At 41.2% G+C, this 19,081-nt stretch overlaps 1 protein-coding gene across 9 annotated transcripts in view, besides 1 other annotated feature; it reads left to right on the top strand.

Moving 5' to 3' along the window:
* NEMP1 (nuclear envelope integral membrane protein 1) overlaps nt 1-18,100 on the top strand; it is a 32,985-nt gene extending 14,885 nt beyond the window's left edge. For 4 of the 9 annotated variants that reach the window (XM_011538056.3, XM_024448900.1, XM_047428587.1 and 1 more), the window contains 8 exons: nt 831-955; nt 2,850-3,069; nt 4,437-4,509; nt 9,004-9,097; nt 9,558-9,672; nt 10,399-10,624; nt 12,798-12,971; nt 13,684-18,100. In XM_011538056.3, the coding sequence (XP_011536358.1) occupies nt 831-955; nt 2,850-3,069; nt 4,437-4,509; nt 9,004-9,097; nt 9,558-9,672; nt 10,399-10,624; nt 12,798-12,971; nt 13,684-13,864 (1,208 nt within the window). In that variant the 3' untranslated portion in view covers nt 13,865-18,100. Of the gene's footprint in view, nt 1-830; nt 956-2,849; nt 3,070-4,436; nt 4,510-9,003; nt 9,098-9,557; nt 9,673-10,398; nt 10,625-12,797; nt 12,972-13,683 lie in introns of those variants that run through there. The other 5 variants (XM_011538058.4, NM_015257.3, XM_047428589.1 and 2 more) reach the window with 4 other exon arrangements.
* Nucleotides 3,793-3,862: an enhancer, noted in NCBI's record as "active region_6522". NCBI's record gives its function as "activates an Ori minimal core promoter by ATAC-STARR-seq in GM12878 lymphoblastoid cells {active_cell/tissue: GM12878}" and the evidence as "EXISTENCE:reporter gene assay evidence [ECO:0000049][PMID:35858748]".

Below are 19,081 nucleotides of genomic sequence, written 5' to 3'. Positions count from 1 at the left end.
TAGGGATTATGAGAGTGCTTACCTCATAGCATTGTTGGGAGCATTAAATGAGACAGCATACTGTCTCTTTTATTTATGTATTTATTTTTTATTTTTTTGAGACAGAGTTTTGCTCTTTTTGCCCAGGCTGGGGTGCAATGGCGTGATCTCGGCTCACCTCAACCTCCGCCTCCCAAGTTCAAGTGATTCTCCTGCCTCAGCCTCTCGAGTAGCTGGGATTACAGGCATGTGCCACCACGCCTGGCTAATGTTTTTGTATTTTAGTAGAGACGGGGGGGTTTCTCCATATTGGTCAGGCTGATCTCAAACTTCTGACCTCAGGTCATCCGCCCACCTCAGCCTCCCAAAGTGCTGGGATTACAGGCATGAGCCACCGCGCCTGGCAGCATACTGTCTTAATAGATACTTAATACAAAAAAAAAAATTAGCCGGGCACGGTGGCGGGCGCCTGTAGTCCCAGCTACAGGCTGAGGCAGGAGAATGGCGTGAACCCAGGGGGCGGAGCTTGCAGTGAACCAAGATAGCCCCACTGCAGTCCGGCCTGGGCAAAAGAGCGAGACTGTCTCAAAAAAAAAAAAAAATAGATACTTAATAGTAGTTTTTATTATTACTTTTCTGACTGAATGACTGTGTAATATTTAAATAATTAAACGACAGAAATAAGATTCTGCCTTAGTTCTTCCTTCTTCTCAGTTTTTTTTCTTATTTCTCAGTCTGGCTAATGTTTTAACCCAAAGTTTAGGAAAATGGTTAGTTTAATCTTTTTCATGAAATGAGTTATAGTTATTAGCTTGTTATGTTTAATTCTTGTTTCCTTTCTTTGCATAAAGCTGAAACTGATGTAAATGTGGTCATGCTTCAGGAATCCCAAGTTTGTGAAAAGCGTGCCAGCCAACAATTCTGTTACACAAATGTGCTTATCCCAAAATGGCATGATATATGGACACGGATACAGGTAATAACTTGGAATCCTCTGGCAGTGGCAGCTTCTGTAAATTTCTGTTGGTGATTAGTGAGTATTTTGACACTTTCTTCCCCTTCACATGCTTAAAAAAAATGTTGTTAACAATCTTGTTAGGGTTGAGATTATCCTGAGTTGTGTTTTCATCAATAAGCATTTATGCCTACTTTGTATTCCTCTCTGCTCCCTCAAGTAGATTACGGTATTCTAAGGTAAACTTCTTTCCTCCTCCCTCCTTTTCCCAAAGAAACTGCTTTGTTTTCTTGTCCTTCATTTTGCAGTATGTGTGTGTGCACGCACACATACCCCTCTTTCTTTTTTTATTTTTATTTTTTATTTTTTGAGGCAGAGTCTCCCTCTGTCGCCCAGGCTGGAGTGCAGTGGCACCATCTTGGCTCACTGCAATCTCTGCCTCCCGGGTTCAAGCGATTCTCCTGCCTCAGCCTCCCAAGTAGCTGGGATTACAGGCATACGCCACCACACCTGACCAATTTTTTTGTATTTTTTGTAGAGATGGGGTTTCATCATGTTGGCCAGGCTGGTCTGAAACTCCTGCCCTCAGGTGATCTGCCCACCTTGGCCTCCCAAGGTGTTGGGATTATAGGCATGAGCTATCGCACCCAGCCCCCTTCTTTCTTTTTAAAGGCCTTATGCCTTCTTTGGGCTGGAAACTGTTATGTGCCTGTGAGGATGTAAACTCTTTTGCCCCACTGTTCCTATTCTGATTCTATATGAGATATTTCATAAACCCCCGAGCTGAAGAATTACTTTGGTCTCATTTATTTCATAACACTGTTAAGTCACCTGGCAAACAGGAATGTCTGGCTGTAACAGTGATTGTACAAAATAGGTCCTTTCAGAAATGTCGTAGTTGTTATAAGCATAGTTACTGATAAGGACATTTGTTGTTCACATCAAAAACATAAGGGTGGACTTGTGGATTTGTTTTTTTTTTTTGAGACGGAGTCTCGCTCAGTCACCCAGGCTGGAGTGCAGTGGCACGACCTCGGCTCCCTGCAACCTCTGCCTCTTGAGTAGCTGGGGGCCATGCCCAGCCAACTTGTGGATTTTTAAAAAAAATTCTTTAAAAAAAATGTCTGACAAGCCGGGCGCAGTGGCTCATGCCTGTAATCTCAGCACTTTGGGAGGCTGAGGCGGGCAAATCACTTGAGGTCAGGAGTTCGAGACCAGCCTGGCCAATATGGTGAAACCCCGTCTCTACTAAAAATACAAAAATTAACTGGGCATGGTGGCGCACACCCTGTAGTCCCAGCTACTCAGGAGGCTGAGGCAGAAGAATCGCTTGAATCCAGGAGGTGGCGGTTGCAGTGAGCTGAAGTCATGTCACTGCACTCCAGCTTGGGCGACAGAGCGAGACTCCATCTCAAAAAAAAAAATTATCTGATAAAAAAGTGATACTCCATCTGGGGCACATTATAACCAACATTTACTCATAATCAGTGGCTTGTGACAATGGATTGAACTCAGCCTGTCATTACGGAAAACATTTTTAGTTTTCTGGGGCAGTTTATGCCTGGCAATTTTCTTAATATTATAGACCTTTGCTTTGTGTGATCTCTAATAAATAGCTGTATTGATAACTCTTTCAGTTTGGAAGTCTTTTTTCCCTCTATGTTCTGCCCTAATAGTAGATTCAGATCATGTTAACAAGAAGGTATTCTAACAGCTGTCTCTCTGTAACATGTGCAGTGTTATTTGCCCAATTATGTTTTAGCCACTGTATTTCTATATTTCTGATAAGCTTTGTGGAAAACTGGCACCATTACTGATTTGGTTGTTAGTCTGAGGGTTTTTTAAAAAATTGTATTTGTGAAAAATTAAAATTCCTACTTCCTTTTTTCTCATCCTGATTTTATTTGTGTTACAGATCCGAGTAAATAGTTCCAGATTGGTTCGAGTCACCCAGGTGGAGAATGAGGAGAAACTGAAGGAGCTAGAGCAGTTTAGTATCTGGAACTTTTTTTCCTCCTTTTTAAAAGAGAAATTGAATGACACCTATGTTAACGTGGGTCTATACAGCACAAAAACCTGCCTCAAAGTTGAGATTATAGAGAAGGACACCAAGTACAGTGTCATTGTGATCCGGAGTAAGTCTCACCTCTGTTTTTCTGATGGATTCTGTAGTGATAAGGACTGAGTTCTGAAGGGTATAATTAGTGAGACTGAGAAGTCAGCCTAAGACAGCTCCAGTTGGGTTCTGATTATAACCCTGAGTATACCACTGCTCTAAACAGTTCATGGAGACTTCACCCCTATCAGACAGGCCTAGAATTGAAACTCCACCTCAGGAAATTCTGAGTACCTCCTTACCTGGAACTGTGAAGACTTTTATTCTTTTATTCCCAATTACATTGTGCTGCTAATGTCCCTGAGCATATATGCCAAATACTCTTAGAGTAAATCAGATAGACGTGTTCTACCTTCTGGACACTTCTAGACAAAGGTAACTGTCTGATGTGTACATGCCTACATTTAAAGACGTGAATGGTTAATAAAAATTGAAGAAAGGTAAAATTGAAAATCATTCACAAGTAAAAAGAGTATTCATGGAACCATAAATAAAGATGAAGACCACTGCAGTTTAAAACTTATTCAGTGGAACTGGGAGAAGTTTTCTCTTTTCTGAAGATGACTGAGAAAGTTTCAGGGGAGATGGATCCTGTTGAATTCTCTCTGACTTTGTTTCCCCTTGGTTACTACACAGGGTCCTGGGATGTTGTAAGTAGTAGAAATGTTTCTAGGTTTAGTATGAAATAGGTTGTGCCCTTCCATTTGTCCTAGGGTTCTTTGGTTACGTAGGGTTGGCTTGTTTTTTGACGTTCCTTCTACAGTTACTGATTCCTTCTGCTCCTGTTCTGTTTGTGGGCCTCCCGTAGAACTCTTGAATGTGAAAGCTGTGGGAGTATCTGGTATGCCACTAAGGGGCCTTTGCTAGGGCCCCCTGGTCCTGAGTGAGAGGTATTTGCGTGTAGGCTTTTCCAGCACAGTGTTCTGTAGCAAAGGGAAGTAGGTGGTATTGTTGGGCAAGAAAAGCAGCCAGTTAGAGAACAACACAAGGCCCTGACCCACAGTTCTGGGCAAATCTGCTGAGTTCCATGACTGTGAGTGACTTAAAGCTTGAAAGCCAGAGTGATAGAGACCCCTTGTGGGTGATTGCATGAATTGCTGATGGTACTGTGTCTAGCTTTGTCCAAAACGAAGCTTGAGTTTCTTTTAACCTTAGCATAGGTAGCCTAAGTAAAAGTAAGATCTTCAGGCAAATACAGGTTAGACAGAGACCTAATTATACATTGGAAGGGTGCCCAGGCTTTAGGTGAAATTTAAATGCTTTTTAGGTGGGCTGTTTGCATTTATTTTTACTGTAGCTGACCAATAGTGCCAACGTTGTCTTTTATTCTATAATACCTTAAGCAGTTTTGTTCCCTTATTAAGCAAAAATCTTTATTTATTTCAGGATTTGATCCCAAACTCTTTCTTGTTTTCCTTCTTGGACTTATGCTATTTTTTTGTGGAGACTTGCTGAGCAGGTAGGTTCCAAGGCTAGTGTGCAGAATGAAACGGCTCATACCTATCCTGCCTGCGTTTTATAGTAACTATTAAGTACTGCCATTCCCATTTCCAGGACCTTTATGGCTTGGCCGTTGCCTGCTTGGATATTTAAAAAAATACTTTAATGTGTATTATGATTTTTGTTTTTTCTTATTTGAACAATGTTGACAATAGTGAAATTCCCACATTAGGTTGGCCCATCATTAGGTTGATAGGAGTTAGCCAATACAATGAAATGGAACATCATCACCCTTTCTATTGCTAGAAGTAATGTGTTAAGGTGTCATCTTTACAGGTCCATGGGTTGATGAGTTTCATTTTGTTCAGACGTAAAGAAACAAATAGCTTCTGGGTACGGTGGCTCACGCCTGTAATCACAGCACTTTGGGAGGCCAAGGCTGGCGGATCATGAGGTCAGGAGATCGAGACCATCCTGGCTAACACGGTGAAACCCCATCTCTACTGAAAATGCAAAAAAATTAGCCAGGCGTGGTGGCGGGCGCCTGTAGTCCCAGCTACTTGTGAGGCTGAGGCAGGAGAATGGCGTGAACCCAGGAGGTGGAGCTTGCAGTGAGCCGAGATCGTGCCACTGTGCTCCAGCCTGGGCAACAGAGCAAGACTCCATCTCAAAAAAAAGGAAACAAATATCACAGCTCAGCCTGGGCAACATGGCAAAACCCTGTCTATACAAAAATTAGCTGGACGTGGTGGTATGTGCCTGTGATCCCAGTTACTCGAGAGGCTAAGGCACGAGAACCGCTTGAGCCTGGAGGCGGAGGTTGCGGTGAGCCAAGATCACACCACTGTACTTCAACCTGGGCCACAGAGGGAGACCCTGTTTAAAAAAAAAAAAAAAAATCAAGTGTTTATTCATTTTTTCCTTTAGGAACCTACTAGTTAAGACAGGTGAGACTGACATGTACAAATATGAAGAAAATATATAGGTAACTAAATAAACATTGAATGAAGGTAAAATCAACATTAAGTTTGTATACAAGTAAAAAGTATTTGTGGAGTAGTGAATGCAAGATTAACAATTGGAGTTTGAAGTTGGGCTGGAGTGGGGTTGCTGGAAGTTGTTATTTTGGTGATGCTGAGAGAAACAGGGAGGAATAACTGGTAGAAAAAATCTGGAATGGGGGGCTGGTTGTGGTGGCTCACCCCTGTAATCCTAGCACTTTGGGAGGCTGAAGGGGGAGGATAACTTGAGCCCAAGAGTTTGAGACCAGCCTAGGTAACATAGTGAGACCCTGCCTCTACAAAAAAATACAAAAATTAGCCAGGCATGGTTGTGCATGCCAGTAGTCCCAGCTACTTGGGAGTCTGAGGTAGGAGGATCACTTGAGCCCAGGAGGTTGAGGCTGCAGTGATCCGTGATTGCACCACTGCACTCCAGCCTGGGTGACAAAATAATAATATTCAGGTCGGGAGAGATGATGGGGATGTGAATAGGACATTACGTAAAGGCTGATTATTGGGAAATACATGAGGGAAGACCTTTAATCCTAATCTTCATAATCTGGCAGTAACTACATAGCATCAGTCTCTACAGTTCTCTGACCTCAAGTTTTGGGCAAATATAGTCACACATCACTTTATTGTACTTCACTTTTTTGTGGTTCACAGATAGTGCATTTCTTTCCAAATTGAAGGTTCGTGGCAACCCTGGGTCAAGCAAATCTATCACACCGTTTTCCCAACAGCATGTGCTCACTTGGGGTCTGTGTGTCACATTTTAGTAATTATAATATTTCAAACTTTTTCATATGATTATAACTGTTATGGTGATCCATAATCAGTGATCTTTGATGCTGCTGTTGCAATTATTTTGGGGCACCACATGTCCATGTAAGACAGTATATTAGTTCATTTTCTTTTTTTTTTTTTTGAGACAGAGTCTCGCTCTGTCGCCCAGGCTGGAGTGTAGTGACGCGATCTCGGCTCACTGCAAGCTCCACCTTCCGGGTTCATGCCATTCTCCTGCCTCAGCCTCCCGAGTAGCTGGGACTACAGGCACCTGCCACCACGTGCAGCTAATTTTTTGTATTTTTAGTAGAGACGGGTTTCACCGTGTTAGCCAGGATGGTCTCGATCTCCTGACCTCATGATCTGCCTGCCTCAGCCTCCCAAAGTGCTGGGATTACAGGCGTGAGCCACTGCGCCCAGCCTATTAGTTCATTTTCATACTGTTGATAAAGATACCCAAGACTGGATAATTTATAAAGAAAAAGAAGTTTAATGGACTCACAGTTCCTGGTGGCTGGGGAGGCCTCATAATCATGGCAGAATGCAAAAGGCACATCTTACATGGCAGCAGGCAAGAGAGAATGAGAACCAAGTGAAAGTGGAAACCCCTTATAAAACCATCAGATCTCATGAGACTTATTCACTACCATGAGAACAGTATGAGGGCAACTGCCCCCATGATTCAATTATCTCCCACCAGTTCCCTCCTACAACACGTGGGAATGATGGGAGCTACAATTCAAGATGAGATTTGGGTGGGGACACAGCCAAACCATATTAGACAGTGAACTTCATCGATAAATGTCATGGGTGTTCTAACAACTCAACCAATTGGTTATTCCCGTCTCCCTTCTTCTTGGGCCTCCCTATTCCCTGAGAAACAGCAATATTGAAACTAGGCCAATTAATAACCCTAGAGTAGATTGTGAGTCTTCAACTGAAAGGAAGAGTCATACATCTCTCTGATTATGCTTAGTGAGAACAGCAAAAGCCAAGACAGACCGAAAGCTAGACCTCTTGTCCTGAGCAGTTAGCCAAGTTGTGAGTGCAAAGGGAAAGTTCTTGAAGGAAATTAAAAGTGCTACTCCAGGGAACACACAAGTGATAAGAAAGTGAAACAGCCTTATTGCTGATATGGAGAGAGTTTTAGTTGGCTGTTGAGAAGATTAAACCAGATACAACTCTTTTTTTGTTTGTTTGTTTGTTTTTTTGAGACAGAGTCTTGCTCTCTTGCCCAGGCTGGAGTGCAGTGGCGTGATCTCGGCTCACTGCAAGCTCCGCCTCCCAGGTTCATGCCATTCTCCTGCCTCAGCCTCCCTAGTAGCTGGGACTATAGGCGCCTGCCACCACACCCAGCTAATTTTTTTGTATTTTTAGTAGAGACAGGGTTTCACCGTGTTAACCAGGATGGTCTCGATCTCCGGACCTCGTGATCCTCCCATCTCAGCCTCCCAAAGTGCTGGGATTACAGGCTTGAGCCACCATGCCCGGCCAGATACAACTTTTTTAAAGCTAAAGGCTGATCCAGAGCAAGACCCTAACTGTCTTCAATTCTGTGAAGGGTGAGAGGTGAGGAAGCCTCAGAAGAAAAGTTTACAGCTAGTGAAGGTTCTTGGTTCATGAGATTTAAGGAAAGAAGCTGTCTTATTACATAAGTGCAAGGTAGGCTAGGCGTGGTGGCTCAGGCCTGTAGTCCCAGCACTTTGGGAGGCTGAGGCGGGCAGATCACTTGAGCCCAGGGAGTTCGAGACCAGCCTGAGCAACATGGTGAAACCCTGCCTTTACAAAAAATACAAAAAAGTCATGGTACCAGCTACTCGGGAGGCTGAGGTGGGAGAATCACCTGGGCCCAGTAGATCAAGGCTGCAGTGAGCCATGATGACGCCATCGCACCCCAGCTTGGGCAACAGAGTGAGACTTTGTCTCAAAAAAAAAAAAAAAAAAGATGAACCAAGCACTGATATAGAAGCTGTAGCAAGTTATTCAGAAGATCTAGCTAACATCATTGTTGAAAGTGGCTACAATTAAAGAGCTCCTCAGTGTAGACAAAATAGCCTTATACTAGAAGAAGATGCCATTGAGGACTTTGATAGCGAGAGAGAAGTCAGTGCCTAGCTTCAAAGGAGGGGTGATCCTCTTGTTAAGGGTTAATGCTGTTGGAGGATTGACTCCAGTTTTGAAAGAAGTTGTGGTAAAATGCTATCAGACAGTATTGCATGCTTTAGAGAAATCTTCATTGAAAGGATGAGTCAATGCAGCAAACTTCATTATATTTTAAGAAATTGCCACAGCCACTCCAGCCTTCAGAAACCACTGCCTTCATCAGTCAACAGCCATCAACATGGAAGTGAGACCCTCCACCAGCAAAAAAAATGATGACTCACTGAAGGCGTAGATGATCTTTAGCAGGTTTTAGCAAAGTATTTTTAATTAAGGAATATATATTTTTAAGACATAATGCTGTTGTACACTTAATATACTATAATATAGTGTAAACAATTTTTATATGCAGTGGGAAACCAAAAAATTTGTGTGACTTACTTACTGCAATTGCAATATTTGGTTTATTGCAGTGGTCTGGAACCAAATTTGAAATGTCTCTGATGCTTGTACTGCTCTAATCTTGTACCTTTTAAAATCTTTCGGCTGGGTTAGTTGTCCTAGTTTCAACAGTGCTATGTATGAAATATATACATATGGTCATGAAATACATTTTTTTCCTGCAGAAGTCAAATTTTCTACTACTCTACTGGGATGACTGTGGGAATTGTGGCCTCTCTGCTAATCATCATTTTTATACTATCTAAGTTTATGCCTAAGGTAAGTATCAGAATCTTCATGTGCAGCTAGAATGAATTTGGATAGCTGAAGGACTGTTTTCCTGGGTAATCTTAGAAAACTGAAAATGTGTATTGATGGCTGATGAGTCAATATCCTACTCTCCTTGATTCAGAAAGGTACTTTCCACGATGAAACTTGGAGCCTGATTACAAATTCTTTCTTTTTATATAAAATCCTGTGCTCAGAGGGGGATTAAAGTCTGCTTCCTGTTTTTTAATTATATAGCCAGGCTTTTAAGTTATTTAGCATTTCATCTTCCCAGTGTTCGTTGCAGACTGTACCATTTTAAGTATAAAGGACATCTTTTTAAGAGAAGTGTTTTTTGTGCATTTTGAGTAGGTTGAATTTTTTAAAAAAAAAATCATAGTTCCATTTTGCTTCTTTTATGTATGGAAAGCCTGTTGTAACTTTTTGCTTTCACTTCTACTCTCTGTCTTAGAAAAGTCCCATTTACGTCATCCTGGTGGGAGGCTGGTCTTTTTCTCTGTACCTCATTCAACTAGTTTTTAAAAATTTACAAGAGATCTGGAGGTGTTACTGGCAGTATCTTTTAAGTAAGTGTTGTCGGTTTTGCTTTCCTTTTGTACGTTTATAGGCTGTTTCAGTTAATTTGATCATGAAAAGATTTTGCCTGCTTATGGGATTTAATAGTTCATGTCATTTTTTTAAACTTTTAAAAATCATAGTTTTTCACTTATTTCTAATCCCTCTACAATTATCACCTTCTCTTAAATTAGAATGGTGCTGTTAAGGCGAAGATGTTCATTTATTGGTATTTATAAATATACCTTTCTTTACACAATAAACATCTTTCTGAAAAGCTGTAAGTTGACTTTATTAATGGAATCATATTTTAAATATACTTGGGGACCTTAAGTAAAAGACTCCGCAGTTAATTTTTTTCTCCTTCATTTCTGAATGAACTGCTGTAGATTTTATTTACAAAGTAAAAATCCTTGGTCATATAGATAGTAACCTTTGAGTTATCCTTTGAAGGGTGATTAATCTGGATTTCTGTATATTGGTTTTTTAAAATAGTCTATTTCAGGGTTGTTCAACATGTACCTTTAATGTTCTGTTTGAACCAAATAAATTTGGGACAGCAGAAAGGATAGAAACTTAGAGAAATATATTCTAAGAAAAAAGTGTGAAAAATTAAGTAAAAATCTGATTTCCTAGTTCAATTGGTGCTATATAGTAAATTAACTACTGCTTCCCACACAAATTATTTTTACCAAGTATAGATGAAAAAGAATGTCTTCTGATAACTCTTCTCATAGGTTATGTCCTCACAGTTGGATTCATGAGTTTTGCAGTATGTTACAAGTATGGGCCCTTGGAGAATGAACGAAGTATCAACCTGCTGACCTGGACCTTGCAGCTGATGGGCCTGTGTTTCATGTATTCTGGCATCCAGATACCACATATTGCCCTTGCCATTATCATCATTGCTCTTTGTACTAAGAACCTGGAACACCCTATTCAGTGGCTGTACATCACCTGCAGGTGACTGAAAGGCAATGTAACTTAATATTGACAGGTACATTGTGGGATGCAGTTGCAGCAAGAGGATACAGAGGTGTTGACCTGGGAGCTTCTTTGTTAATGAAAAGTCATTGTATTGTACTTCCACTTTTGTTCCTTCCCGAGTCTATTTTTTTTTTTTTACTTTCTATAGGAATTTTTATATTTTTATTCTAGTCATTTTATATAAAATGTCTAGTAAAATGTCATGTGTTCCTGTTACCACAAGGTGGTGCAAATTCTATCACTGTTTTTTTGAGATGGAGTCTCGCTCTGTCGCCCAGGCTGGAGTGCAGTGGCGTGATCTCGGCTCACTGCAACCTCCACCTCCCGGGTTCAAACGATTCTTCTGCCTCAGCCTCCTGAGTAGCTGGGATTACAGGCATGCGCCACCACATTCAGCTAATTTTTATATTTTTAGTAGGGTTCCCCATGTTGACCAGGCTGGTCTTGAACTCCTGACCTCAAATGTCAGGAGTTCATAAAGTGCTGAGGAGCTCCCAAAGTGCTTGGATTACAAAGTGCTGGGATTACAGACATGAGCCACTGCGCCCCGCCACAAATTGTATCGCTTTTATACCGTATGCTCATTGAGGTCTCCTGGGTTCAGATTTTTTTTTTGAGACAGAGTCTCTCTCTGTCACCCAGGCTGGAGCACAATGGCGTGATCTCGGCTCACTGCAGCCTCCACCTCCCGGGTTCAAGTGATTCTTCTGCCTCAGCCTCCCGAATAGTTGGGACTACGGGTGGGCGCCACTATGCCTGGCTAATTTTTGTATTTTTAATAGAGATGTGGTTTCACCATGTTGGCCAGGGTGGTCTCAAACTCCTGACCTCAGGTGATTTGCCCACCTCAGCCCCACAAAGTGCTAGGATTATAGGCGTGAGCCACCTCACCCAGCCCATTTCAGACTATTTCTCAGTGGCTTTCAGATTGCTCTGGAGGTCTTAGTCTTATTTTAAGATGTAATTCATAGCATGTTTTGTCACCTTGCATAATAAATATGGAATGTTACTAGGTCCTGAAGTTGTCTATTATAGATAGTCAAGGTGATGCTTTCAGTTTGGGAAACCAAGTTACTGGACCACAATCTTTTTTTTTTGAGATGGAGTCTTGCTCTGTCACCAGGCTGGAGTGCAGTGGTGCTATCTCAGCTCACCGCAACCTCTGCCTCCTGGGTTTAAGCGATTCTCCTGCCTCAGCCTCCTGAGTAGCTGGGGTTACAGGTACATGCCACCATGCCCAGCTAATTTTTGCATTTTTATAGTAGAGATGGCGTTTCACTATGTTGGCCAGGATAGTCTCAATCTTGACCTTGTGATCTGCCCACCTTGGCCTCCCAAAGTGCTGGGATTACAGGTGTGAGCCACCTTGCCCGGCGTTTTTTTTTGTTTTTTTTTTTTTTTGAGATGGAGTTTTGCTCTTGTTGCCCAGGCTGGAGTGCAATGGCATGATCTCGGCTCACTGCAACCTCCGCCTCCCTGGTTCAAGCGATTGTCCTGCCTCAGCCTCCCGAATAGCTGGGATTACAGGTATGCACCACCATGCCTGGCTAATTTTGTATTTTTAGTAGAGATGGGGTTCCTCTGTGTTGGTCAGGTTGATCTCCAACTCCTGACCTCAGGTGATCTGCCTGCCTTGGCCTCCCAAAGTGCTGGGATTATAGGCGTGAGCCACTGTGCCTGGCTAGAACCACAGTCTTATACCATGATTTTCTGTTATTTTCCCATCTACTAGAAAATAAGTAAGTATTTTATCATTTATTGGAAAATAAAGTGAGTTTGTTCACATTAGTGAATAATATTGACTATAATTTTTTACTTTCTATAGGCATTTTTATATTTTTATTCTAGTCATTTTATATAAAATAAAAAGGTCTAGTAAAATGTCATGTGTTCCTGTTACCACAAGGTGGTGCAAATTATATCACTTTTTTTTTGAGATGGAGTCTCGCTCTGTCGCCTATGAATTGTCACTCATAGTCTAATGTATCAGGAGTTCATTATAACTAAAGATGTCCATGGAATTTTTAGGAGTGATGACTCTTAATGTTCAGGCTGTCTGCTGTATTCTTGGCCCACTGAAGGGAGCTAGAAGTAAGGATGGATATAGATTACTGATTAATGATTCATAATGTTATTTTGGTGAGCACAGAAAGGTGTGTAAGGGAGCAGAAAAGCCTGTTCCCCCTCGTCTCCTGACAGAAGAAGAATATCGGATACAAGGAGAGGTAGAAACCCGAAAGGCTTTAGAGGAGCTCCGAGAATTTTGTAACAGTCCAGACTGCTCTGCTTGGAAGACTGTTTCTCGAATCCAGTCTCCAAAAAGGTAAACTCGGCCAGATATACCAAGCATCTATCAGGGTAATTGTGACCTTGAGTTCTACCAGAGATCATACTTCTAGAGAATCGTGCACTTGTGACCTTTGTTTTCCTGTTAATCTTCAAGTAGTCAAGAGAAGGGTGGATATATAATCACACATTAAGCAGTAACCTGTTTCCTCAGGGAACTATCTACTCTAGCTTTGATTGTAGCATTAAGATGGGAAGACTCCAGTACCATATTAAGTTTCCCTTCTGAAAGTTTTGCATTGCTGTCTGAGTTGGTAGGGTTCCCCCCTACCCACTTTTTAGTTGGGGGCAAATGTACCAATGAGTATGTGAAGCTTCAATTTGGAATCATGATGGCATAAAGTTTACAGGGCCATAAACGTGAATAACTGTAATGCCCCTTAATCTTCTCTTATCAGGATTACAGATGACTAAAGGAACCTTGGCACTTTCATAATTAGAAAGGATAGGCAAGTGCTTATTAAGCAGGATGGAGTTGCAGGGGTATTAGCCTATGATCCCAGCTTTCCTTTTCTCCTTAACTTCATGCTTTAGTCTACTTACCTGCCAGAGTAAGGACAAGGATGTTGGCTAGACTTAATATAATTTGAGTTGCGAGCATATCGAGGGCTTTAATTTGTTCTTATTTTGAAAGAAGACCAGAAAGGACAGAAGGATATTTCTAACGAGTATTATCTTCTCTTTTCCAGATTTGCTGACTTTGTGGAAGGCTCTTCCCACCTCACGCCAAATGAAGTTTCTGTCCATGAGCAGGAGTATGGATTAGGGAGCATTATTGCCCAGGATGAAATCTATGAGGAAGCATCCTCTGAGGAGGAGGACTCATATTCTCGGTGTCCTGCTATCACACAGAACAACTTTCTAACCTAGGTAGTGGTCAGTTATCTTTACGTGGACTGGCTTGGTGCCTTGGTCCATGTTGCATGTGTTGTGCAATTGCTTTCAACCCTTTGAAACAGAGTGAGATAGATAGGGTAGAAATTCTCCTACTGAAATAAGAGGCCTAAAAAGGCCTCCCTTTGGAAATGGGAGGTCTCTATGGGATCCCTGAGGAAGGAGAGTGGATAAAGTAGTGAATGCTGGGTAGTTCACTTCCCATTGGTTAAGCTAACAGCCCACTTTTATGTTTCCAGAGAAATTGGATGGCCACAGCTAGCATGGCATTCTAGCTCCTTCTTGAAAGTTGATTCAATCATGGCATTTCTGTCACTGGCTGGCTCTCCAAAGTAAGAACTGTTGTTAAGTGCAGGAATGCTTTTAGACTATAGGCTGCAACTTCCAGAGAGAAATCCACAAATCTGAGCCTCCTTCACTCCAGCTTTTATTTCAGTGACTTTAGAATAATTATTGATTTAACTGTTTTGGGAGGAAAATAGATTTTTATTGTTTTGTTTTTTAAATGAATGTCTTTTAAAAAACATAACAAACTCATGTTCCAGAACCAGCAAGTGCTCCAGAGTGACACACCCCCTAGGCCCCTACATATTTATTAATATGGATTATCCATTAAAGCCCCAGGAGCTGTTGTTTTAAGCTTTGATTTAGTTCTCATACATATGATAGAAAGTCCTATTTGCCTTTAGGAACATGCCTGTAGGCTCTTCTGCAGGTGAGATGTACTGGGCTTTTTATTATATTCAACTTTCAATTCCATCTTAAAAAACATTTGTATTCTTCTCTTCCCATTCTTCCTTACCCTGCCTTTGCCCTTTCAGGAAGGGTCAGTTCCCTTACCTGTGAACTATGTATGTTCAGAGTAGCATTATTCCTGCTAGCTAGGAGAAGTCATCTTGTTTAGGGGATTTGGATGCTTTTTATACGTTCTCCATTTTCCTGTCATTGGGTCATGTTATCTTTGAGTTGCTATGAAATCAGGAAACTGTCTCCTTTTCCTTTCCCTTCCTTTGTCTACATGCTCTGTCCATTCCTTTCAGCCTTTTCTCACCACCCATACTCCCCCAAATCTGGGTAATTTTTAAGCCTTGAAACTATGTAGTTTCTTGATACACAATTTGTAGTTATGCAGCAGCCACAATTTGCATTGCCAGGAAATAGGCTCCAGGTTATCTTCATGCCTCTGGGTGCTCATTCAGCTGTCAAGTTTCCATGAACTTACACTTATTTATGATTGCGTTTCTGACCTGAGATGTATGCTGCCTGTTATTGCAGTAGCATTAGTTTCAGATTCTTTTGCCATTGCAAAGTACCCCTTATAAACCAGCAATGTCATCTGTGAGGAAGCAAATTCTCAAGTGTCTGTCATTTACTTGGTTCTTTTTCTTTGTGGTCTTCACCCTTATACCCTGGAAAAGTCTGTAATTACCTTAGCCAGGAAGATAGATGGTCATGGCAAGCGCACAGCACCAGACTTACTGGCTCACCAAGATGATGGAAAAAGGCAGATGATTTTTTAAAAAGCCGTAATGACTCCTTTAGACCAGCCATTTAGCGTGGTAATTTTGAAAGGCCTAGCTCCATTGCAGACTTCCAAAGGGTCAGCTCTGAGACTGCCCTCCAGGTGGGCAGTTGATTATTTCCACCAGTGTTTTCCAGAGCCTTAAACTGTCCTAAGTGACAACTACCTCAGTTGGCAGGAAAGAGACATATAGTAGAAAGTGAAAAATGAGCAGTATTTGGGCAGATGCTATGGGTTACAGTTGAAGGGTAAAAGGAACTTTACATTGGGAAACCTTTATACCCTTGTGAATTATGTACATGGTAAAATGTTCTCTCTCTACAAAGAACTATTAAAACTTCTGAAATATACTATTTTTTACCTTATTTATAGAAATTGAGACCTAGCATATTTAAGCATAAGTTTATTTTAAAAAATAATTCAACTCGTGCAAGTGGTCTCAGGATTCTCTGGAGATTTTGGTGCCTCCCCTACTTAGGGAGGTGATAGCTTGCCTATAAGGGTGACTTTTCCTGATCATGTCTTTATTTCAATGAGAAAGCACTGTGAAATTGTGAAAGATTCTCCTCTTTCTCTGTTTAATAAACCCCCATGAAATATAGTTTCCATCTCTAGACCAGTTTTTTTTCCACCGTGTTTAGACTTGAGGTGAATAAAATCAAACTGTTTTTTACTCCCTATCTGGTAGTTGGAGACCTGAGCTGTAGGCAGTGGAGATGGCAATTGGTTCTGCAGCCTGAGAGTTGCTCTCACACAGTGAAGGACGGTGCTGCTCTGGTGTGCTGTGTGTCCTTGCCCTGCCTGCCTGTGGCTCTGCCCAGATGCTTCAGATCCTCTGTGTTCCGGAGATTGCTTGACTTCAACCTTCTTTAGGAGCTGCTCTTGTCTCCCTCTTGGCCACTTAGTTTGCTGGCTCAGTCACTACTTGAAGACCCCATTTAATTTTTCTCTGGCAGTTATAGCTCTTGTGATTTCAGTACAGTCTCATCTCTCAGACCAATCTCATCAAGAAGGATTGAAGGGATAACTATGAGGTAAGCTGGACATTGGAGCCGTGTTTGCTGCCACGTCAGCGTCTTGCTGGGTGAATGTCAAGCCATAAATGGGCTCCAGGGCTCTGGATCTCATCAGCATTGGAAATCTATTGCCTCTCATCAGTCTGACCAAATTATGTAGAGCATTAATGTAGAGACTCCCATTAATGGGAATACAAGAGGCAGCTGGCATAAAACATTTCTTTCACTTTCCTTTCCCACTCAGATTGCTTCAAGAGACCAACAGAACACAGGGATCAAAAACAAGGAAAATTTAGCAACTTCATTACCTTCTAATAAGTAATTCCTGTTAGCCACTGCATCCCACCAAAACTAGTTTATTTTTCCCCTCAAATTCATGATTTTTACGTCTGTTACAAAGGGAATTTTGCTGATAGCTCTTTGGGTCCCACTGTTCCATTTTATGCTAATAGATTCCATTCTAGGGCCCAGCCGTCTCTTGACTGATGGTGTTCCCTTTAACCCTTGGCATGTATAATAGAATTTTGGTGAATGAAAGAACCCAAATAGGCCAGATAGTCCCCCCAGGCCCTGATATCCATAAAAGGCTTGGGAATGCATTATGTAATTGTCCTTAGTCTTTTTGTTGTTTTAGAAAAAAAAAACAAGATGGGCTCAGATGGATGCCTACGTAAAAATGGTTCCTAGCTGTGTACTCATAACTTTTCTTTGAATTGAGTAGTGAAAGGAAGGAGGAGGAAAGGAAATTAAATGTCCTTCTAGTATTCTCTGGACTCAAGTCTGACATATGAGATAATAACCTATATTGAAATGCCAAGAATTGTATCTGAAACAAGAGAACAGTTTGACACATTTATCATGCCTTCATATTACATATTAACTGAAACCAATTAATAAACATATGAAATATCCATTGCACAAGGCAAAGGCACCTAAACCTTTTGTTTCTTTTTCTACATAGCAGAAATTGATTTTTTTTTTATTTTTTTAGGGGAACCTATATAATTATGACCCAGTGATGTCTTTTGGTGACTTAAGCTTATGAATTCAGGTTACAATTGAGTTGATTCTAGATGGTTACTACCTTGAAAAGGATGTTGGTGCCTTATGTGACACGAGCCAGAGCCTGCTGGGAATAAACAAAGCAGATTCATGCCAACACCAACTCGTAGCTTTAGTGGCAGATGGGAGTGGTCACAGACTCCCAAAATGTGGGGCTTTGGATTTCCACACCATCCCACGTGTGTGTCATCTTCCTCTTTCACACTCTTGATGATAATTTGAAAATGGTGAAATCACCTCTGAATTTGCCTATAGCATGAGCACATTCTTATGACAACATAACAAATAGTTCATAATGTGAATATTAGAAACTGTTACAGCCTGCAGTTACCATAATTTTCCATGTTTGTGGAATTGATATTGAAATAGCAGGGCTAAGGAATTACTGGCAAGTTTTAGCCTGTGGGTAATACCTTAGGGTTATTTAAATATTTGTAATTTTATTTAAATGTTCATGAATGTTTGAAAGGAACAAAATTATCAGGGATGGCTCTTTGCCATGGGTCTTATTTTCACCCTCTTTTCTGTAAGAAAAAAGAACAATGTCTTAATGTATTTTTAAAGTTTTTGGTATAGTTTCTAATTCCAATTTTAATAAAAGTTTTATAGATATATTGTGGTCTTTCTTAATGAACATAATATTTTCTTGTTTGGATTTCTTGTTTTCAGGTAATCAGCAATTTACTCCTCAGTTTCATCTTTCTAATGAGATGGTTTTGCATGCCACTGATTTCCCTTTTTTTCTTAGCCACCCCTTCCTGTCCCGAGTCTGTACTGGTCTACTTTCATCCTTGGACTGGATGATTTCCCAGGATGCAAAATCTCTAAGGGGTATTCTTGCAGGAGCAGCAGGTTGTACTACCATGCTGTCTCATAGAAAAGCAAAATACAGGTTATTCTTGGCCCAAGGAACTACTCTGATTATATTTTAGTTCTTTTTTTTTTTTTATGGCATAAAGTATCTCTTTTGTTTGTCCATTGGGATGGGGAGAAGACCTATGGCTCCAGCTATGGGATCCCTACCAAGAGCTCTGTATAGGGTGGAAGAGAGAGTAGGGCTGTAGTGAGCCTTATGTGTATTGAATAAAAACTTAAATTATGTCTAGGCCCAGCTTCTACCATAGGAGTCTGGTACCTTTCATTTTATGTATTGGCTACCTTCTTTGCTCTGGGAATCCTTTGTAATATTCATATTAACTCTGTACCTATGTTTTTTCATCTCATTAATTAATTATTATTATTATTATTTGAGACAGTCTCTTCCTGTTGCCCAGGCTGGAGTGCAGTGGCATGATCTCGGCTCACTGCAATCTCTGCTTCCCGGGTTCAAGTGATTCTCCTGCCTCAGCCTCCCGAGTAGCTGGATTACAGGCACCTGCCACCACACCCTGATAATTTTTGTAGTTTTAGTAGAGATGGGGTTTCACCACGTTGGCCAGGCTGGTCTTGAACTCCTGATCTCAAATGATCTGCCCGCCTTGGCCTCCCAAAGTGCTGGGATTACAGGCATGAGCCACTGCACCCTGCCTATTTATTATCATTATTATTTGTTTTGTTTTGTTTTTTGAGATGGAGTTTCACTCTGTCACCCAG

The sequence above is a fragment of the Homo sapiens genome, chromosome 12 (genome assembly GCF_000001405.40).
Source record: "Homo sapiens chromosome 12, GRCh38.p14 Primary Assembly".
Classification (NCBI taxonomy): domain Eukaryota; kingdom Metazoa; phylum Chordata; class Mammalia; order Primates; family Hominidae; genus Homo; species Homo sapiens.
This window is presented reverse-complemented; position numbering and strand designations above follow the sequence as displayed.